The following is a 22,292-nucleotide window of genomic DNA, read 5'->3' as shown; positions in this document are numbered from 1 at the left end:
AAAATAAAAATCTCATTTGTTTAAGCATCTAGTCTGTGGTATTTTTGTTATGATAGCCCTAGCAAGCTAATATAGAAAGGAAGCTGCAGTTACTACAGGTCTTCTCACTGCTTCCCAGCCTCCCAGCCTCCAGTGCGGGCCCCTTGACCCCATCCTCCATCTATCTTGCTGCCTCAGTCACCTTTCTTTTTTTTTGAGACGGAGTCTCACTCTGTTGCATAGGCTGGAGTGCAGTGGCACGATCTCGGCTCACTGTAACCTCTACCTTCCAGGTTCAAACAATTGTCCTGCCTCAGCCTCCTGAGTAGCTGGGACTACAGATGCACGCCGCCATGCCCAGCTGTTTTTTTTGTTTTTTTTTTTTTTGTACTTTAGTGGAGACAGGGTTTCACCATGTTGCCCAGGCTGGTCTCAAACTCCTGAGCTCAGGCAATCCGCCCGCCTCAGCCTCCCAAAGTGCAGGTATTACAGCCATGAGCCACCACGCCCAGCCATCAGTCACCTTTCTAAATGTAAATCTAGATGTGTCTCATCCCTGCTCGAAAGGCTCCAACTGGCCAGGTGCAGTGGCTCACACCTCAGCACTTTGGGAGGTCGAGGCTGGTAGATTGCTTGAGCTCCAGAGCTTGAGACCAGCCTTGGTGATGTGGCGAAACCCTGTCTCTACTGCAAATACAAAAAGTAGCTGGGCATGGTGGCACGCGCCTCTATTCCCAGCTACTCAGGAGGCTGAGGTGGGAGGATTGCTGGAGGCCCAGGAGGCAGAGGCTGCAGTGAGCCAAGATGGCACCATGCATTCCAGCCTGGGTCTCAAAAAACAAACAAACAAACCAACAAACAAAACGCCTCCAACCTTAGAGGCGATGGCTCCCCATCATCTCCACTCTAAGGTTCAAACACCACAAGGTGGTCTGTGCTCTGACCCCCTTCTCCAACTTCATCTGCTACTGCTTCCAGTACTTGGAAGACCCTTGATTCCTGCATTTCACCATCTACGTTGCTCCAGGCATGGAAAGCTCTTCCACTCCAGCAGCAAGCAACACCTACTCATCCTTTTTTCAGAGACGGTCTCACTCCTGCCTCAGCCTCCTGAGCAGCCGGGGTTACAGATACGAGCCCCTACTCATCTTTCAGCTTACAGCCCCAGTTTCAGCAGCTCCACAACGCCACCCTGGACCCTGGCCCTCCACCTGCTACACACTGATCACCTTCTTTGTGCCATCATTTTACCTGAAGCATCCTTGCATATTTTTGGGTTTGTCACACGATATTGCAAATAGCAATTTCTTCCCTTAGAATGAAAGGTTTTTTGTTGTTGTTGTTGTTGTTTGTTTGTTTTTGTTTGTTTTTTAGGTCAGGTGCCAGCCTGGGTGACAGAACAAGACCCTGTCTCAAAAAAAAAAAAAAAAAAAAAAGGCAGGACCTTTCAGGTGTGATTAGGTCATGAAGGCAGAGACCTCAGGAATGGTATTAGTGCCATTCATAAATGAGGCCCGAGAGAGCTCCTTTGCCCCTTCTGCCATGCCATGTGAGGAAAAAATGAGAAGCTGGCAGTCTGCAACCCAGAAGAGGGCCCTCGACAGAACCTGACCATGCTGGTACCATGATCTTGGAATTTCAGCTTCCAGAATTGTGAGAAAAAAATTTCAGTTGCTTATAAGCCACCCAGGTTGTGGTATTTTGTTATAGCATCCCAAATGGACTAAGAAAGTCTGGTGGCTACCTGTACCACCTCACTGCACCTTTCCTCTTCAATGGCACCAGCAAGCTTGTGATGGTTAAACCCATTTCATGTGTTTCAGCCCTTTCTTTCTTGCCCTTTCTGCAGCATTTGACCCTGTGGATCACTCCCTTGTCTCCAAACCCTCCCACTCCTTTGCTTTTCCTCCTGCTAGTCTATTAATAGCTGCTCCTCTGCTCTCATTTGAGAATTTCTTCTCTTCTGTCCGTCATTAAAATGTTGACTACAGATGCTCCTCAACTTACAAAGGGGTTAGATCCCAATACGTCCATTAGGTTGAAAATGCATTTAATGCACCTAGCCTATGGATAGTTTGGCTCTGTGTCTCCACCCAAATCTCATCTAAAATTGTAATCCCTATGTGTCCAGGGAGGAAGCTGGTGGGAGGTGATTGGATAATGGCGGCGGTTCCCCCATGCTGTTCTCGTGATAGGGAGTGAGTTCTCAGGACATCTGATGGTTTAAAAGTGTGGCTCTTCCCCTTCGCTCTCTCGCTCTCTCTCCTGCCACCCTGTGAAGGAGGCGCTTGCTTCGCCTTCCCATAATTGTAAGTTTCCTGAGGCCTCCCCAGCCATGTGGAACTGTGAGCCAATTAAACCTCTTTACTTTATAAATTACCCAGTCTCCGGTAGTTCTTTTTTCTTTTTTTTTTTTTTAAACAAAGTCTTGCTCTGTCGCCCAGGCTGGAGTGCAGTGGCACAATCTAGGCTCACTACAGCCCCTTCCTCCCAGGTTCAAGTGATTCTTGTGCCTCAGCCTCCCGAGTAGCTGGGATTATGGGCTTGCGCCATCACACCCACCTAATTTTTGTATTTTTTAGTAGAGACAGGGTTTCTCCATGTTGGCCAGGCTGGTCTCCAACTCCTGGCCTCAAGTGATCATCCACCTGTCTTTGGCCTCCCAAAGTGCTGGGATTATAGGCATGAGCCACTGTGCCCAGCCTTAGGTAGTTCCTGATAGCAGTGTGAAAATAGACTAATATACCTACCAAACATCATAACTTAGCCTAGCCTTAAATGTGCTGAGAATACTTTAATTAGCCTACAGTTGGGTAAAATCATCTAACACAAAGCCTATTTTATAATAAAGTGTTGAATATCTCACGTAATTTATTAAATACTGTACTGAAAATGAGAAACAGAATAGTTGTTTGGTTACACAAAGTAAGGTTTCTACTTATTTTTGCACTTTTGTGTATCACTTTTGCACTGTTGTAAAGTAAAAGAATCCTAACTGCAACCATCATAAGTTGGGAACCATCTGTATTCTTCAGTCTTTGGCTGTCTTCTTTTTAAAAATTATTTATTTACTTACTTATTTTAAGACAGGGTCTTACTGTCAGGGTTTCACTGTGTTGTCCAGGCTAGTCTGGAACTCCTGGGCTCAAGGGAATCCTCCTGTCTCAGCATCCTGAGTAGCTGGGATTAACAGGAACAAACCACCATTCCTGGCTGTCTTCAGCAGTCTTTTTTTTTTTTTTTTTTTTTGAGACAGAGTCTTACTCTGTTGCCTAGGCTGGAGTGCAGTGGCATGATTTCGCCTCACTGCAACCTCCACCTCCCAGGTTCAAGTGATTCCCCTGCCTCAGCCTCCTGAGTAGCTGGGAATACAGGTGCGCTCCACCACACCCGGCTACTTTTTGTATTTTTAGTAGAGACAGGGTTTCGCTCTGTTGGCCAGGCTGGTCTGGAACTCTGACCTCAGGTGATCCACCCTCCTCCGCCTCCCAAAATGCTGGCATTACAGGCATGAGCCACCGCGCCTGGCAGGAGTCTTCTCTCAGCACTCACAGACTCCCTTGGGGCTATCTCTTCTATTCCCATGACTTCAGCTAGCACCCTTTGCTGACTGCCAAAATACAAATCACCAGCCCAGATCTCCTTCCTAAATGCAATACCCATTCACATAACTGTTTACTGAACATATCCATTTAAATGAAAATCAGAAAAGAAAGCACAGGCTCAGAAGTTGAACTTGAGTTCAAAGCCTTGCTCCATCACAAACTACGATGTATAGCATTGGGCAAGTTTGTTTATTTATTTATTTATTTATTTTTGAGACAGAGTCTCACTCTGTTGCCCAGGCTGGAGTGCAATGGCGAGATCTTGACTCACTGCAACCTCTGCCTCCAGCACCTGCCGCCACGCCCATCTAATTTTTGTATTTTTAGTAGAGACGGGGTTTCGCCATGTTGGCTACGCTGGTCTCAAACTCCTGACCTCAGGTGATCTGCCCGCCTCAGCCTCCCAAAGTGCTGTGATTACAGGCATGAGCCACCGTGCCTGGCCAGCACTGGGGCAAGTTAATTACCTCCCTGAGCCTCAGATAATAATGATGGTCCTGTTTTACAGAGGAGTTGTTGTGAGGATTAAATGAGATAATCCATGTACAGCACTTCCTGCAGCACCTGGCAATGAGTTGATAGTAGCAGATAGTAAAGAGTAGTAGTAATTAAAAGGTCTCAGAAAGTTCAAGTCAACAGATTCAAAAGTGAATTCATGACCAAACCTCAAACCTTCTCTTCATCCTTTGTCCCAAATCTCAATAAATCACACCACCATCTAATCATCCAGAAACCCGAACATTATCCTTGTTTCTTGACCACCACTGCCCTCCCATTCTGCCAGGTTAAGTTTTCCTAACGTAAACCTTGTTGTAACCCACCTATGATCCAATGAATGTTTAAGATGTCTAGGCTTTGCACATATCCATTCATTCAATCCATAGAACAATCCTGCAAGGTGGGTGCTACTATTATTCCTGTTTCGCAGGTGCAGAATTTGAGGCACAGGAAAGTTGAGTAACTCATTCAAGATTATATGAGTGGCAAAGCTGGCATACAAACCCAGGCAGTCTGGCGTCTGTCTCCACACTCACTACCACTATGCCACATTGTTTCTATTGTAATGCATAGCACATTCTATTGTTCGCCTTGTCTCCCCTGATAAACTGTTCTTCAAAGTCAAGGACTCTGATTCATTTGCAGCAGCATCCTCAGTGACTAGAACAGTGCCTGGCAAACAGCACATGCTTAATACAGTTCAGTGAGTTAGGTAGTTCCCTAGAGACAAGACAGAGTAGAGATAAATGGAAGTAGTAATAGAACAGCCAGCAGGTTACATTCAGTTATATCCAAGATCAGAAGTTTTGTTTGTGGATAAAATTTTGTTTTTTTTAATCTGAAGATAATAAACAGAAGACTGAAATCAGAGTAAGTAGAGGTTGAGTTTAAGAAGATCTACTAATATTCACGGATACAGCAGTTATGTAGGGTACATGCTATAATCCTTTTAAGGAAGGGACATTTGACAAACTCTCATAAAGAGAACTCATAGACTTTGGGGGCCGGGCGCGGTGGCTCATGCCTGTAATTCCAGCACTTTGGGAAGCTGAGGCGGGCGGATCACCTGAGGTCGGGAGTTTGAGACCAGCCTGAGCAACATGGAGAAACTCCGTCTCTACTAAAAATACAAAAAATTAGCCAGGCATGGTGGAACATGCCTGTAATCCCAGCTACTCAGGAGGCTGAGGCAGGAGAATCGCTTGAACCTGGGAGGTGGAGATTGTGGTGAGCCGAGATCGCGCTGTTGCACTCCAGCCTGGGCAATGAGAGCGAAACTCCTCCATCTCAAAAAAAAAAAAAAAAAAAAAAGAACTCATAGACTTTGGGGTGCAGTCACGAACAATTTTTTTTAACTGCATTAAAAACAAAAAACAACAACAACAAAAAAACAAAAACAGGCCAGGCGCGGTGGCTCATGCTTGTAATTCCAGCACTTTGGGAGGCTGAGGCTGGCAGATCACATGAGGTCAGGAGCTGGAGACCAGACTGGCCAACATGGTGAAACCCCATGTCTACTAAAAATACAAAAATTAGCCGAGCATGGTGGCACAGGCCTGTAATCCCAGCTGCTCGGGAGGCTGAGGCAGGAGAATTGCCTGAACCTGGACTTAGAGGTTGCAAGGAGCTCAGAGATCGCCCCACCGAACACCAGCCTGGGCAACAGAGTGAGACTCTGTCTCAAAAACAAGCAAACAAAAACAACAAGCCACTACCTACTCCCATGTCACTGAAATTGTGTTGAAGGACTCAAATCCAGTGCCATACACATCAGTTTCAGATAGAGTATCATGCTGGATGTGAGAATTAAAATTTAAATTGGGGGAACAAATGAAAATGTAAGCTCAAGCAGGGTTACAATTTGCCATGGGGGTCAATTTAAGTGTGTAGTCAGTTTATATTCAGCACCACCTGGTGTGCACTGTGTACTGTGTGAATTACTGTATCATACTAAACAAACAGACATTGGTTTTTCTTAAACTGTAGCAAGAAAAATGCTTGCTGTGCAGATCCCAGCAGCCCCAAGAGACGGAAATGAAAACTCCATGCCTAAATTTATCCCTTCCTATTTCATCTCTCCTTGTTCAGGCCTTCCTCCCTTCCTCCCCAGGGCTATTTCCTTAATCTTGACCCCATCTGTAAAGTTCCATCCTGTGCCACATCGGAGGATCTCTTCAGGGCACCTGGGCTCAACAAAACAATATTTCCTTTTTCTCCCACTGGGTATAAAACAGTGCCAACTGAGGCTCTGAGCCTCATTAGATAGATCGGGCAAGAAGTGAAGCAAAATGCTGTTTACATGTACACCACAGCTCTTCCCAGAGCACTTGGAATCAGGACCAGGACACCTCCAAAGCCTCTTTGGTGTTTTTCCTTTCTTTTCTCCTTATATGGCCTTCATGAAGAGTAACTAATTACAATCTGTAAGCAGTAATTACAGTTCATAAACTGTGAGCACAATATAAATATTTTTCCTGAAAGCCAGGTTAGAAGAAATCCTGTCTAAAATGAGATGTAAAACAACAACAATTGAAATAAATATTCTAACTGAATTGTCCCCAAGCACTGTCAAAAAGAAGAAGAGTCTAATCTATCTCTGTAATAATGGGCGTATTATAGTAGGATCGTTTTCAGCCCATTTCCCCATCCTGCTGGGCACGAATTGGCTCAGATAAGGAAAAGGAGCCAACCAAACTGGGGGAAAATAACAAAAAAACCCCAAATCCCAATAAAAAGAACCCACCAATTATTTTGGATGCCTGGTAAACAGCCTGCACCAGAGGATAAGGCTTTTCTGGCCCTCAGCTATGCTTTTTTCTCTTTTCATGTGTCTTGTCCTCCTCCCTTGAAACTGCGGGGTGGGGAAGTCTAAAAATAGTCAATGAATCATGGCATATAATATTGTGCAGTAGTTACATAAACAGCCAGCCCGGGCGCCGGAGCCCCGGGTCGGAACGGAAAATATCTGGGTCAGCGTTGTCACACTGAACAGGGTCCCCCGGAGCCGGCCTTCGGGAGGCGCGGCCCGGGAGGAGGCCTGGGCCTGCGGGCCGGGAGCAGCAGGGGCGGCCCGCGGGAGGGAGCGGAAGTCCCGGGGCGGGCGCGGGCAGCGGCGCGAGCAGGGCGGGCGAGTTCCGCGCTCCCTCCCCATGGCCGGGAGCGGGCCGCGGCGACGGCGGCGGCGCTGACAGGCCCCGGGCGGGGCGGGGCAGGCGGGCCTGGGCGGGGGCCTGGGGCTGTGGGAAGATGAACGCCCTCCTAGAGCAGAAGGAGCAGCAGGAGAGGCTGCGGGAGGCCGCGGCCTTAGGGGACATTCGGGAGGTGCAGAAACTGGTGGAGAGCGGGGTGGATGTGAACTCCCAAAATGAGGTCAACGGCTGGTAAGTGGGGAGCGGGGGAGGCCTAGGGTCAGGGCAGCCGGTCGGAAGGCGTGGGGCAGTCAGTCGCGACCTGGGCCCAGCGCGGGACGCCTGGCTACGGCGAGGCCTGCCACCTCGGGCCTCCGAGATTGTGCTCTCTTGAGGCCAGCCCTGGCCCCCATGCCTCGTGCGGTCGGGAGCGCGTCCTGCCCAAATCCCGGCCCACGTGGTCCACTCGGGGCAGCGCCCACTGGGACTCTGGTGCCCTACCCCCTTCCCCCGCGCTCCCGGCTCACTTGGTCAGAGCGGTGCTGGAGGCAGTGATTCTCAGCGACTATGCGTTGGAGCTCACCCCAATTCGAGTGTTGAGTTAATTTGCCGTAGGTGCTTCTGGAGAACGCATCTTGCAGAGCTAAAAGCATAAGCAACTGAGCAAATATGAATTTTATAAACTAGCACGATTTCCTTAGCCAAGACCAGGAAAAAAAAACACATTTGCATCACCATTCTGCTTCTCTGTTGTTTCACTGCAACCGATTTGCTGCTGCTGCCTGTAGTTGCCTGTTTGAGGGAAAACTCATTTGTTTATCCTATCGATTATTTTCTTTCTTTTTTTTTTTTTTTTTTTTTTTTTTTTTGAGACAGGGTCTTGCCCTGTCGCCCAGGGTGGAGTGCAGTGGCATAGTCTCGGCTCACTGCAACTTCTACCTCCCCGGCTCAGGTGATCCTCCTGCCACAGCCTCCCAAATAGCTGGGAATACAGGCACGCGCCCCCACACCCGGCTAATTTTTTTTTTTTTTTTTTTTGGTATTTTTGGTAGAGATGGGGCCAGGTTGGTCTCAAACTCCTGGCCTCAAGTGATCCACCCGCCTCAGCCTCCAAAAGTGCTGGGATTACAGATGTGAGCCTACCGTTCCTGGCCAGTTTTCTTATTACAATTTCAAATACAGAATGTCACCCAAGACTTTAGATGTCTGCCTGCAGATTGAATTCTTCCCAATTAAATAAGGAGTCTCATCTTAAGATGTTGCTGGTGGTCAAAACAGAAAGTTACTGAATGTGGCATTATTCCGCTCTCTGCATTTAAAATTTAAAATTTTGATTCAGGTAATGCTTAGCCAGACTATTTTGCTAGCTTAGAGTTAAAGTGAGTAGCACTTTGGGAGGCTGAGGTGGGCGGATCACGAGGTCAGGAGATCAAGACCATCCTGGCCAACATGATGAAACCCCGTCTCTACTAAAAATACAAAAATTAGCTGGGCGTGGTGGTGCATGCCTGTAGTCTCAGCTACTTGGGAGGCTGAGGCAGGAGAATCACTTGAACCTGGGAGGCGGAGGTTGCAGTAAGCCAAGATTGCACCACTGCACTCCAGCCTGGGCGACAGAGCAAGACTCTACCTCAAAAAAAAAAAAAAGTGAGTTTACATTTTGTTTTTTTAAGTGGAATCATCCATTTTGGAACTGAAAGGGACAATGGAGAGAGGCTCAACCACAGAGAATAACTTGCCCTAGGCCACATAACTATTAATATGATAGCACCAGAACCATGGTTTCCAGACTGCCTCAAAAGTCTACCTACCTGGACCTGGCGCGGTGGCTGACGCCTGTAATCTCAGCACTTTGGGAGGCCAAGGTGGGCAGATCACGATGTCAGGAGTTCGAGACCATTCTGGCCAACATGGTGAAACCCTGTCTCTACTAAAGATACAAAAATTAGCCAGGGGTAGCGGTGTGTGCCTGTCATCCCAGCTACTTGGGATGCTGCAGCAGGAGAATCACTTGAACCAGGGAGTTGGAGGTTGAAATGAGCCAAGATCACACCACTGCACTCCAGGCTGGTGGCAGAGCGAGACTCTGTCTCAAAAAAAAAAAAAAAAAAAGTCTATCTTCCTGGTAGGACCTGGTGGCTCACGCCTGTAATCCCAGCACTTTGGGAGGCCAAGGCAGGAGGATCACTGGAGTCCAGAAGTTTGAGACCAGCCTGGGCAACATAGTGAGATCCCAGTCTCAAAAAAAAATTTTTTTCTACCTAATTTCCCTAAAGAAAACAGCCTGGACAGCTGTCCAGAAGGCCAGGAAACAGTGGATACTACCTTTTTGTTCTGTTTTTTTTTTTTTTTACAGGTCTTTGCAAACTTGCTGTTGTGTATGTAACCTTTTCTCAGCATTCCTCTGGTTCAAAGCTGTGAATTACCATTTTGGCACTGGGAGGCGGTGTTGTGTAGAAGGAGCCTGGTCTTTCCTGCAGGTTCTCCTCCATTCCTGCCTAGCTATGGGACTTTGCCTGAGATGCTTCATTTTCTACTTGTTCCAGAAGAGTATTGTGAGCCCTTAATGAGATGAAGCATAAATAGCTAACATTTATTGAACTTGCTTTGCAGCACAGATAGGATAGGGTTCTTTTTTTTTTTTTTTTTTTTGAGACAGAGTCTCGCACTCTCGCCCAGGCTGGAGTGCAGTGGTGCCAGGTGCCATCTTGGCTCACTTCAAGCTCTGCCTCCTGGGTTCACGCCATTCTCCTGCCTCAGCCTCCCGAGTAGCTGGGACTACAGGTGCCCGCCACCACGCCCGGCTAATTTTTTGTATTTTTAGTAGAGATGGGGTTTCACCGTGTTAGCCAGGATGGTCTCGATCTCCTGACCTTGTGATCCGCCTGACTCTGCCTCCCAAAGTTCTGGGATTACAGGCGTGAGCCACCGTGCCCGGCCAGCTCAGATAGGGTTCTAAGTGTTTTACATGTGTTAGCTTGTTCACAACTACCTGGGGACATAGTTACTGTTCTCTCCATTTACAGATGAAGAAACTGAGGCCCAGAAACCGTAAGTTGTTTCCTCACTTTTCACAGTGCCCCTTCCCAAGGTCATAGGATTGACAGTAACTAGTGGAGCCAGAAAACAAACCTGGTATCTGATGCCAGACCTACCCTCCTAAACACAATGTCTGCCCCATAGGAGGTGTTTAGTGAAGTGATTCTGAGGTAGCCTGAAGAGGCTTCTTATAGGTTTTTTTTTTTTTTTTTTTTTTTGAGATGGAGTTTCACTCTTGTCACCCAGGCTGGAGTGCAATGCGTGATCTCAGCTCACTGCATCCTCCACCTCCTGGGTTCAAGCGATTCTCCTGCCTCATCCTCCCAAGTAACTAGGATTACAGGTGTGTGCCACCACGCCTGGCTAGTTTTTTGTATTTTTAGTAGAAATGGGGTTTCACCATGTTAGCCAAGCTGGTCTCGAACTCCTGACCTCAGGTGATCTGCCCGCCTCGGCCTCCCAAAGTGCTGGGATTATAGGCGTGAGCCACCGCGCCCGGCCTCTTGTAGATTTAATTGGAGGAACTGTCTAATAGGCCCCTCAAACTCAACATGTCCAAGATTGAATTCCAAGTCTCCCCTCATCCCTCTACCACCTCAAGCCTGCTCCTCTGAGTCCTCAGCCTCTCAGGAGTGCTCAGGCCAGAACCCTTGGCACCCTGCTTGCCTCCTGCTTGCCTCCTGTCTTTCATAGCCGACATCCAGTCAGCCAATTCTATGAGCTCCACCTTCAGATACAGTCAGAATCTGACTACTTCTCACTAACCCTACCACTACACCTCTGATACAAAGCCACCATTGTTTCTCTTGCTTGGATTATTACAATAGCCTCCTACTAGTGTCCTTGCTCCTAAGCTTATATCATACAGTCTTCTTAATTAACACAGTGGTCAGAGGGATCCTGACTTAAAACATAAGTCAGATCATTTCACTCTGCTCAAAAATGGCTCCTATCTCACTCAGTAAAAGCCTACAGGGTCCTACAATTTCTACTTCCTGTCCCCACATCTTCCCTCCTTACCTCTGTGCTAATCTCATGGGATTTGCCCTTCTGCTTACCTTTTTCCCCTGGCCTCCTTGCTTTCTCTGGAATACCAGACAGTCCTGATTCAAGATCTTTGCGTTTTGTCTTCCCACTCTCTTAAATGCTTTCCCTCCAGATATCACATGGTTTGCTTCCTCACCACCTTCAGATTTTAGTTTAGATGTCACCTTCTTGGCAAGGCTTTTCCTGGGCCCTCAATTTAAAGTTGCACAATGCCCCTTTCCAACCTCTGTCATTCCCTAATGCCTTTCCCTGCTTTACTATTGCTGTCATACTTCATCACCACCTAGCGTACTGCGTGCTTTGCTTATTTATTTGCTGATGTCTGTTTCCTCTTCTGTAAAATGGGGGGAATGTTGACAGTAGTATTACCTCATGGGTTTAGAGGATTAAATAAGTTAATACATGTAATGCCTTTAGAACAATGTCCAACACGTAAAGCATTATACCTGTATTAGCCATTGTTGTTGTTTTCTTATTATGAAGCAATATGCTAGATAATGGAATATAAGGTTACCCTCAAAAAAACGTACTCTCTTGCATTTGCAAAGCAGAATGGTGACTGCTTTCAAGTCTTAGTTGCTCAGTAATCACAATTTCAGCACCAATGAGTGATGCCCTGTTGATGAATGACACCCAGTGCCTCAGGTCTGAAATAGTTTCTGACACTAATAAGATATTTTGACTGCAAATGTAAAGCTTAAGGAGTTGAAGTTCAAAGATAGAGTAATCTATCAATTAGATTGATCACTAATCATTCCCCCACATCAGTTGTAATTCAAGTGTCATGCATAACCCTTGGTTCATGAAGAACTTGAAAATATTACCTGGCTGCAGGGGCTCTGAGTTATGGCTGCCCAGAGCCGCACAGCTCTGGACGGTAAATGATGATCACTAAGGCACAGGGCTGTGGGGGCCACGCTATGTTGACTTAACCCTGCTTTACATGGGTGGTAGTTTAGCAAGTTGGTTTGTCCCAGAGTCTCTCAGACCCACTGGTAGTAAATTACCTCCTTTACTCTCAAGCTTGCCACGAACAAGTGATCTACTACTAGCAAGTGAGCATTTTATTTCCAAAAGGGAGCATATTTTTCTCATCATGCTTCATTCATTTTTGAGGGCTCACTTATCATTATAATTGTTCACTTTTTAAGCCTGTGCCACAGACATCCACACACAAACACACTCAAGGTTCCAGTTTGCCCAGAATCAAGGGTAGATTGGATCCTTCTACTTCAAGCAAGGTCCACTTTATCCTTAGTTTACTCATTTGGTACTTTTTTTTTTTTTGAGATGGAGTCTTGCTGTGTTGCCCAGGCTGAAGTGCAGTGGCACAATCTTGGCTCGCTGCAACCTCCACCTCCTGGGTTCAAGCAATTCTCCTGCCTCAGCCTCCCCAGTAGCTGGGATTACAGACATGCACCATCACACTAATTTTTGTATTTTTAGTAGAGATGGGGTTTCACCCTATTGGGCAGGCTGGTCTCAAACTCCCGACCTAAAGTGATCCACCTGCCTTGGCCTCCCTAAGTGCTGGGATTACAGGTGTGAGCCACCGTGCCTGGCCCATTCAGTAAATATTAATTAATACATGCCAAGCAAACACTTCCTTGCCTTCAGGGAGCTTGATCAAGACTCTTCTCTCCCAAACTTAACGAGACTCTTATTTTTCCCAAATTAGCAATAATTTTGTCATTGCATCATGGAATACACCTTAAAGGAACCTGGATAATCTAATTCTAATGAACCATAATGTAGAATGTCACTCTGAGACATCAATGGAATTGCTCCCAGCCAGCCAGACATGCTAACTTTCTGTAAGTTACTAATGTTAAGCCCAGGGCAAATCAGCTTTTTCCTGGAATCATATAAACTTTCCAAATAATTATACTTCCCAGGTTAGTGAACTAACCTTCAATATTGAACATTTGTTCTAATCTTCATTTCTGTATTTGGCTATAAGAGCTCTGAAGATATGTATCTCAGTTCAGTTAGAGAGTTGGTGAAAGAAGACCTTTCAAAACACAGGCGAAAAGTATTTTCCTTCCATAATATACAGTCAGCTCTGGCACCTAGGGATGGATTTAGTTGCTCTGAATCTTTCATTTCTGTTAAGATGGAGTTTTTGCTGGCATGCTAATTATGTTTCTGTACAGTATTAAAATAGTAGCCCTTCAGAGTGTGCAGAATTGCTTCCTCTGTGTACAATATTGAGTGATTAGTTTTACTTAAATGAGTCTGATATGTTAGAAGAACCTGTTCGTGAAGAATTTTGGTTGTTGATGTATATTTTTTAAGTACCTCAGGAATTAAAGTATGTGTGCAGTGCCTTACATTTACGCAGATGAGGATATGTTTGTAGCCTTCTGGAGAGAACTAGAGAAGCCAACTTTTTAAAAATGGAAATTTGGAAATCCTTTGTGTGTGTGTTAAGGAAAGAAAAGTAAGAAGGAAAAAGAAAGTGAGCAACTGGGATTCAGGCAAGAATATCTGCTGTCATAATAATAATTTAAGTGACAGAGCAAGCTGCTGATAGGAGATGGTTATTATCCTGATAATATTGAATCTTCAGGTGGCATATGAAGTGAGTTTCCATAGTCCCTGAAAAGGAATATAGCAATAGAAAAATATGTTTCAGAGACTGAGATGATCTAATGAGCGATACTGATAGAGTATATTCCACGGTATCATTGGAGTTAGCCAGCCAGTGAGCTTACCTTCTGGAGGCTATTGAAATTAAAACTCCTAGGTTAAGTTAGTTTTTCTCAGGAGCCAGAAATGAAATTTAAAAACAAAATTTAAGCATATTAAATATTTTGCTCATCGGCTTTGTGAAAAGTTGAGATTACCAGCCCGGTTACCTGGTTCTAGCTGAACTCTAACAGGCTTGTTTATACATTATTTACTAATGTTTAGAATCTGAAATCCAAAATCACTTCTCCTCTTTTTCAATCATTATTTTCTTTGGTACAGGACTTGTTTACACTGGGCATGTAAACGAAACCATGGTCAGGTGGTCTCTTACCTGTTAAAATCAGGAGCTGACAAAGAAATTCTTACCACAAAAGGAGAAATGCCAGTCCAGTTAACATCAAGGAGAGAAATCAGGAAGATTATGGGAGGTGAGTCTGTGTTTGGGGGAACTTTTGATTTCCTCAGACTCATTGAAGACTTGTGGTATTATTGGCTACGTTCTTAATGCTGGTCAAACAACTGCTCTATTTCTTTCTTTTTTTTTTTTTTTCCGAGACGGAGTTTAGCTCTTGTTGCCCAGGCTGGAGTGCAGTGGCGTGATCTCGGCTCACCACAACCTCTGCCTCCCAGGTTCAAGTGATTCTCCTGCCTCAGCCTCCCAAGTAGCTAGGATTACAGGCATGTGCCACCACGTCTCGCTAATTTTGTATTTTTAGTAGAGACGGGGTTTCACCATGTTGGTCAGGCTGGTCTCAAACTCCCGACCTCAGGTGATCCGCCAGCCTCAGCCTCCCAAAGTGCTGGGATTACAGGCATGAGGCACCGCTCCCGGCAACTGTTCTATTTCTAAAAGCAAATTACTGTGCCAAGATAGTAATTCCAGATTGTTTCTGGGGAGGTCAGCATTGTAAGGTTTTATTTTTTTATTTGTAAAATTTAAGATAATGATAAAAATGGTAATCATAAACCTAATGAAGTATTCTTTTTTCTTCTGACCTGACACTGACCAATGTCACATACCAAAAGACACCACTTTCAAAAGACACCTTGTTTTGATAATTTTGAAAGGACTGTGTAAATGTTCTGTTTTCTTCTTTTTAAGTGGAAGAAGAAGATGATGATGATGATGATGATGACAACCTCCCCCAGCTGAAGAAGGAGTCAGAACTGCCCTTTGTTCCCAACTATTTGGCCAACCCAGCCTTCCCTTTTATCTATACACCCACAGCAGAGGATTCAGCCCAGATGCAGAATGGGGGCCCCTCCACACCCCCTGCATCACCCCCTGCAGATGGCTCACCTCCATTGCTTCCCCCTGGGGAACCTCCCCTGTTAGGGACCTTTCCCCGGGACCACACCTCTTTGGCACTAGTTCAGAATGGTGATGTGTCGGCCCCCTCTGCCATACTCAGAACACCAGAAAGCACAAAACCGGGTCCTGTTTGTCAGCCACCAGTGAGTCAGAGCCGCTCCCTGTTTTCTTCTGTCCCGTCCAAGCCACCAATGTCTCTGGAGCCTCAAAATGGGACGTATGCAGGACCAGCGCCAGCATTCCAGCCATTTTTCTTCACTGGAGCATTTCCATTTAATATGCAAGGTAACCCCTCATCAGCAAACAGCCTCTGCAACAGGGGAGTTGGTGTCCAGAGGGGTGGGATTTAATGAGGTATTCTGGGTATAATTGCAAACTTACAGAAACGTTACATGACTAACATAAGGAACTCCCTTTACTCAAATTCACAAATTGTTTACCTTTTGCCCTTTTACCCTGATACCCTTCAGTATTCTTTCCATTATATCTTTCCTAAGAACAAGGATATTCTCTCTTTTTTTTATTGAGACGTAGCTTCGCCCTGTCACCCAGGCTGGAGTACAGTGGTGTGATCTTGGCTCACTGCAACCTCCGCCTCCCAGGTTCAAGTGATTCTTCTGCCTCAGCCTCCCAAGTAGCTGAGATTACAGGAGCATGCCACCACGCCTGGCTAATTTTTTTTTTTTTTTTTTTTTTTTGTATTTTTAGTAGAGATGGGGTTTCACCATGTTGGCCAGGCTGGTCTCAAACTCCTGACCTTAAGTGATCTGCCTGCCTCAGCCTCCCAAAGTGCTGAGATTATAGGTGTGAATCACCGCACCCAGCTGGATATTCTCTTATATAACTACAGTACAAATGACCAAATTTGAGAAATGTAATCTTGAGCTAATGCTGTTCTGTAATCCATAGACCATGTTTAAATTTTGTCAGTTGTCTCAAACATTGCCTTTTGTATTCCCTCATCTACTATACGTACTGTCTGTACTATTACAGAAATAGTACTATCTGTACTATTGATATCTATCTGGACTATCTGTACTCCTCTGCCCCCTGCATCCTGCCCAGGATCATATGTTGCATGTAGTTATCACGTTGTTTTAGTTTCCTTTAATCTGGAATCTTTACCCTTTATCATTTTTGATCTTGATCTTTTTGAAGAGTCCAGGCCAATTATTTTTGTGGGATATGATTTTCTATCATTCTTTCTCTACTTATTAGTTGGTATTTTACTGTAAAGAAGGGCTTTCCCTTCTCCTTCATTCATATCAGTATTGACTCATATATTCTTATTTTATTCAGTGGGTTATAATCTGTTACTATCATTTTTTAATTATTCAAATTATCCCAGATTTGGCCAGTGGGAGCCCCTTGAAGCTAGTTCTTATGTCCCTTGCATGTGTCTTCATTGTTCTTGGAGCACTGCCTTACTTTCTGGGGCAGCAAGATGTTCCGGGCTTATAGCATAACTTTTCCTGCCCCAACCCTGGAATCAGTCATTTCTCCAAGAAGCCCTGGTTCTTTTTGGTGGAGAATGGTATTTAGGGCACACAGCAAACTTGCCTCCCACTTGGGCCCACCGAGAATGGTATTCAGACACCAGGATGTGGTCACTAGGTGTCCTCATTGCTACAGGTATATCATTTCTTCTAGGCCCGTTGAGAGGACATAGCCAGGAAAGATATCAATATTTCTCTATGTATAACTTTTTAAAAATATTAAAAACCACAAGTTCATCCTGATTCTTCCAAATCCAGTCAAATGCCATAGGGTGTAGCTAGTCTTACTTTTCCTTTTTTCCTGGAAGTAACTCTCTCACTTCCTGTTTTTGAGGAGTTACTACTGTAGGTGCTAACAGTGACCTGGGGTGCTACAAGGGATTCATATACAGGGAACAAAGCAGAACTGCCAAATGTACAGGGTGCTTGACTCAGGCTGTCTTGGCAGCCAGGTTCAGAATAAAGGAGCAGATTGCTTAGATCCCAGACCTATGAATAATAAGCCAAGACCCCTTCCTCATGAAGGTGTGCTACATTCAAATCAAGTTATACTTTAGCTTTTATTAGTAGCTTGTCATTTGGCTCTTTTACTGTCTTTTTTGCAAGGAGTTTCATATTTTACAGATACCTTTAGGTCCATAATTGTTAAATCTTTTTAGGGTAACTCACATCCTGCCCATGCCTTCTTTCCAACCTTCTTCCCTCTTCCCCTGTTCATGTATAGTTTGATACCCAAACCTGTTCTTAAGACTTTGCCTCCTTAGCTCCAATGGCAGAAGTAAATTATCCTTCTACATAGCTGGAATGGTTTCCCCTGCCTTGCTCTTACTTTGTGAACCATAGCCTTAGAAGTACGGACGACAGTGCAGGAAACTGCCCCAGCAGAGGCAGAGCTGGGCCTGAGCAAACCCTGCTGGCTGCACTTGGTTTTCCCACCAAACAGGTCTGTTAATCATGCACAGACCTTTGGCATGATTAAGTATAACCATCTTCTGGAAAAGATCTTAAACAACATGGGCTGTGCTGTGCCAGAACTATTCATTAACATTTCTCCTTTTTTTTCTAGAGCTGGTACTCAAGGTGAGAATTCAGAACCCATCTCTTCGAGAAAATGATTTCATTGAAATTGAACTGGACCGACAGGAGCTCACCTACCAAGAGTTGCTCAGAGTGTGTTGCTGTGAGCTGGGTGTTAATCCAGATCAAGTGGAGAAGATCAGAAAGTTACCCAATACTCTGTTAAGGAAGGTAAGAAAAGTCTAAGCATGAATGGCTGCTTTTTGCATTTGAAAAATACCTAGCCCCCTCCTTGGTTATATGAGGTAGTTGAGGGAATAAACAAAGAATAGAAAAGGAGCAAAGAGTGATTTTCCAAATGTAATCATTTCCTTCTACTGAGTCTATAGGGACACTGGCTTTTTTTTTTTTTTTGGCAAGTCAAGTGAAGCAGTGGAGTGGAGAAGGAACAAAGACATCTGTAACTGGTGTTTGGCCAGTTACAGTCTTACAAACTAGTTGTAAACACCATTGCATTCAGACCAGCCACACTGGCATTTTTGGAAGTTGATACCAGAGAGAAGTTTCTGAATTATCATTCACGTGTTCCTATTTTCGGTTTCTGTAGTGAGCTGTGAGGATTAACTTAGTGCACTACTAGATGTGCCTTCTGTTTTACAAGTGAAGGACCAAGTTCAGTTACAGAGCAAATCACATAGATGCATGTGTGGTCCTTCATACATCTCTGGGTTTTTGACATCAGGCTTCTGGCTTCTCAGGGCACCTGGGAAACTGATCTGTGCATTGCCTCTCCCTTCGCAGTGTGTGCTCATGCTGTCGCAGCTGCTGAGCTGTTTTTAAGGACTTCCACTTTGCAACCCAATCATCCTGGGGCCTTAGTTGCACTATCACTGACTTAGCCTGCCACAGGGATTTTTTTTTTTCTTCTAGGTTTTGAAATAAGACAAGATACTGGTATCAATAGAGTGCACCAAACATATGGAGACAAGTGGCTCCTGTTAATCTGTTTAACATATTTTTGTTTTAGGACAAGGATGTTGCTCGACTCCAAGATTTCCAGGAGCTGGAACTGGTTCTGATGATAAGTGAAAATAATTTTCTGTTCAGAAATGCTGCATCCACACTGACTGAAAGGCCTTGCTATAACAGGAGAGCTTCAAAACTGACTTACTAATGCAGCAGGGACTTTTATCACTGAGTATTATGACAGTGTGCATCACCTCTGGGCCAAGGACAAGCCATTGATCTAAATGCCTCAGATGCCCGGGAGGGCCTCTGGTGCCACTGCATAGTATATACTAACATCATTCTGCCAAGGTAGGAAGCCCCTGACCCCCAAGCAGTGGTGCCACTCTTCCAAGCCTCTTGGTGCACAGTAAACCTATTGCTTGAAGCTTTGAACAGCTGAGAAGTGGTCTGGAGAGGCAGAAGCTGAAGGTTCTATATCCAGTGTGTTTTATGTCCAGAATGTAAGAGAGTTGTCTAAGCAGCAGCTGAGAGAGAGCGGAGCCTATTTCTAGCCACTCCTGTTGACAGTGCACCTGAAGGGCTGGGATGCGTTTTTCTTGGTGTTGCATGCTCACAACTCTGCTGACATTGGGAACTTATGAGAGAGGAAGACTCGGGAAAGCACAGATACTGGACAGATGGATTCTGGTGTGGGGAAAGCACAGATACTGGACAGATGGATTCTAGTGTGACTTGTGACTGTGAGGTTTCCTATAACATATTTATAAATGTTACTCAGGTTAAAAGTATTTAAGAATACAGTTAACTAATTGTAAATATGCTGTTAACCAAAAGAGCTTTCCCTCCCTCACTTTTTCCTTTGTAAACACTCATGACTGCTTCTCTGTCTCGAGTCATCTCTGCATTAACTCCCCTTCGTGGTCACTAGAGGGCTCTCTGATGCCTTCTAAAAGAACAACTGCTTTTTTACAATGCCCCCCACCCCCACCCCGCCCATAGAGACAGGGTCTCACTATGTGGCCCAGGCTGGTCTCAAACTTCTGGCCTTAAGTGATGCTCCTGTCCTTGGCCTCCCAAAGTGCTGGGATTACAGGTGTGAGCCACTGCACCCAGCCCACTTTTTTTTTACTCTGAAGTGATTCCAGTCATATGTGTGTGTAACTGCATCCTATGAGAAGAGCACAAATATTGCTGTTCCATGTTCTCCACTTTCATTTTCCACTACAAATGAAAAGCAATTTTTGAGACTGAATCTGTTGCTATTTTAAAGGTTATTGTGGGAAACTGAGCTAAAGGAGTTAGCATCTTTATTTTTGTATCAAAAATAAAGGTTATTTTGAAATTATTAGGATTTTTACACAATTCTGAAATCTGTTGCTTTTGTAAACAAATTGTTTGATCTTAGTGATCCCCCTACTACTACCACCAATTCACTTCACAAAGTCAGTTATGAGTCTACCAGACTTTGTTCTGAAAAATAGAAACAAAACACCTGATTAAGCTCTTGAGTATGGCATAGGAATTTTTTAGAAGAATGCATTCAAGGATTCTTTTCCTTTCCTTCAGTGTCATTAATGTTAAAAGAGCAGCCACTGTTTTGTTGAAACAAACAGCTTAACTTCAGAAATAAGAACTAGCACACTTAGACAAACAGGAGAGCAGGGGTTTGAAGCCAGCTGTCGAAGAGCATCCCTGCTGTCTTAAGAAGCTTTTTCCCCATAGTGCCTATAGTTTCCAAAGAAACTCAACTTCCTAACTGTGTTAACTTAATTTTATTAGAACACTACAGTTGAGTGAGAACGTGCAGAAGATGTCAACAGAAGAGAATGTTGTGCTAAGATAATGGCCTCCTGCTGCTGCCTAAATGCTGAAATGAGGTTGAGATGTTTTTCAAGGCTAACTTCATGGACTCACTCTGTTTAGTGACTTAATTGTATCCCACCAATTACTGCTGGTGACTTACTCACCCTTGTACAGTGTTTGCATAGCAGAGTGAAGGTTACTTATTACCCTCTTTCTCTCAAGTGCTTTAAAGAAGAAACCTCCCTGGTGTTTCTTTTCTTTTTTTTTTTGAGACGGAGTCTTGCTTTGTTGCCCAGGCTGAAGTGCAGTGGCATAATCTCAGCTCACTGAAACCTCTGCCTCCCGGGTTCAAACGATTCTCCTGCCTCAGCCTCCCAAGTAGCTGGGATTACAAGCATGTGCCACCATGCCCAGCTAATTTCTGTATTTTAGTAGAGACAAGGTTTCACCATGTTGGCCAGGCTGGTCTCGAACTCCTGGCCTCAAGTGATCCACCTGCCTTGGCCTCCCAAAGTGCTCCGATTACAGGTGTGAGCCACCCGGCCCAGCCCCTCCCTTGTGTTTCAACCAATCGGAAGTGAATTTAACTAGATGTAGTAACCTTTTTTTTCTTTACTTCTAAAACAGTTACAGTTTACTAATAAAGTTAAGTCTGGTTCTGTCCTAGAGGAAATAAATTCACTATTAATTCATGTCTTAAGTTACTTGGGTTAAAACACTTTCAGCCACCCAGATTAATTAAAGTGGAGCAGTGGAGCCCCTGGCTGGGAGATGGCCTCCAGAGGAGCAGCTGCAGGGCATGTTCTGGGCTTAGCGACAGAGGCAAGCAAGGGACTGGTGTCTCTGGTGAGAGGTGGGTTTGATGTATCTCTGTCCTATGCTGGTCTCTCTTCTCCTTTATAAAATCCTCTGTGGTCAACTGACTACTGCGTATCGCAGTGGAATAAGACTGCACAGTTGCTGGTAGGTGAGTTTAAAGTCTTAATCTATGCATTCAGAGAAATATTTTTATATGCTTTGTGTAATTTATAACAAGGATTTTTTTTTTAGCTTTGTTAACTGTGAATTCACCCCTCCTCCTCCACTGCATATTTAAAGCATGTGTTCACACTGTGTGTAAACATTCACTGAAGATTTTTTCTTTGTGCATTGCTGACTGTTCAAACATAACAAGTATTATTAAAATTAAATATTAACTGACCGATCCTATATGCCTTCATTTTGGCTTCCTAAACAGCACTACAGTTCTAATCATAGGGGGTTCAAATTGTTGGACAGTCCCAGAGACCAGAAGCTCTGCAGGAAAATTAGAAGGGCCCTCTCTCCACCTGAGCCTCCTCCACATCCCGTTCATACCCTGTCAGTAGCACCTGGGGACGGATATTTTGTGCGGCGTCTTTCCTTCCAGTTCACGCAGTCGGCTTCATTTCCCTGGAGTAGCTGAGCCAGTTAGATGGAGGTCATCCCCTATTAACCACATTTTTTGATTATCCTATTTACTTTACCCAACTGAGCCTCTCCTTTGAGTTGTCAGCACCTGTCAGGGCCTCAATGAGCTCAGAAGCAAAGTCCCAAGACAGGAGAGGAAACACAGCCTTACACTTCCAGATCTTTAGCTGATACTGATGCTGAATGAGTCTGCTTTTCTGTTGGTTCAGGCCAGCTAGCACCTCACAAAGCAGACGTCAAGCCAAATTGGCCTAATAAA

The 22,292-nt window shown here is 44.8% G+C and overlaps 1 protein-coding gene across 1 annotated transcript, besides 2 other annotated features; it reads left to right on the top strand.

The window, feature by feature from the left end:
* On the top strand, window positions 7,069–21,785 carry ANKRD40 (ankyrin repeat domain 40). Its single transcript, NM_052855.4, has 5 exons — window positions 7,069–7,462; window positions 14,267–14,415; window positions 15,090–15,584; window positions 17,862–18,043; window positions 18,840–21,785. The coding sequence occupies exons 1-5, from the start codon at window positions 7,329–7,331 to the stop codon at window positions 18,984–18,986; spliced, it is 1,107 nt and encodes a 368-aa protein (NP_443087.1). The 5' UTR covers window positions 7,069–7,328; the 3' UTR covers window positions 18,987–21,785.
* Window positions 7,124–7,333: a silencer, noted in NCBI's record as "silent region_8708". NCBI's record gives its function as "represses an Ori minimal core promoter by ATAC-STARR-seq in GM12878 lymphoblastoid cells {active_cell/tissue: GM12878}" and the evidence as "EXISTENCE:reporter gene assay evidence [ECO:0000049][PMID:35858748]".
* Window positions 7,464–7,733: a silencer, noted in NCBI's record as "silent region_8707". NCBI's record gives its function as "represses an Ori minimal core promoter by ATAC-STARR-seq in GM12878 lymphoblastoid cells {active_cell/tissue: GM12878}" and the evidence as "EXISTENCE:reporter gene assay evidence [ECO:0000049][PMID:35858748]".
* Window positions 21,786–22,292: the final 507 nt, after the last annotated feature.

Source organism: Homo sapiens, chromosome 17, assembly GCF_000001405.40.
Source record: "Homo sapiens chromosome 17, GRCh38.p14 Primary Assembly".
Taxonomy (NCBI): Eukaryota; Metazoa; Chordata; class Mammalia; order Primates; family Hominidae; genus Homo; species Homo sapiens.
Note: the sequence above shows the minus strand (reverse complement) of the source record. Positions and strands in the feature narration are given on the sequence as shown.

Bases quoted from the DNA above. Each gene is read 5' to 3' on its own strand.
- ANKRD40 (NM_052855.4), top strand. From the start codon at position 7,329: ATGAACGCCCTCCTAGAGCAGAAGGAGCAGCAGGAGAGGCTGCGGGAG. The intron at 14,416-15,089 runs GTGAGTCTGTGT...CTTCTTTTTAAG, and splicing joins AATCAGGAAGATTATGGGAG to TGGAAGAAGAAGATGATGAT. The intron at 18,044-18,839 runs GTAAGAAAAGTC...TTTTTGTTTTAG, and splicing joins CCAATACTCTGTTAAGGAAG to GACAAGGATGTTGCTCGACT.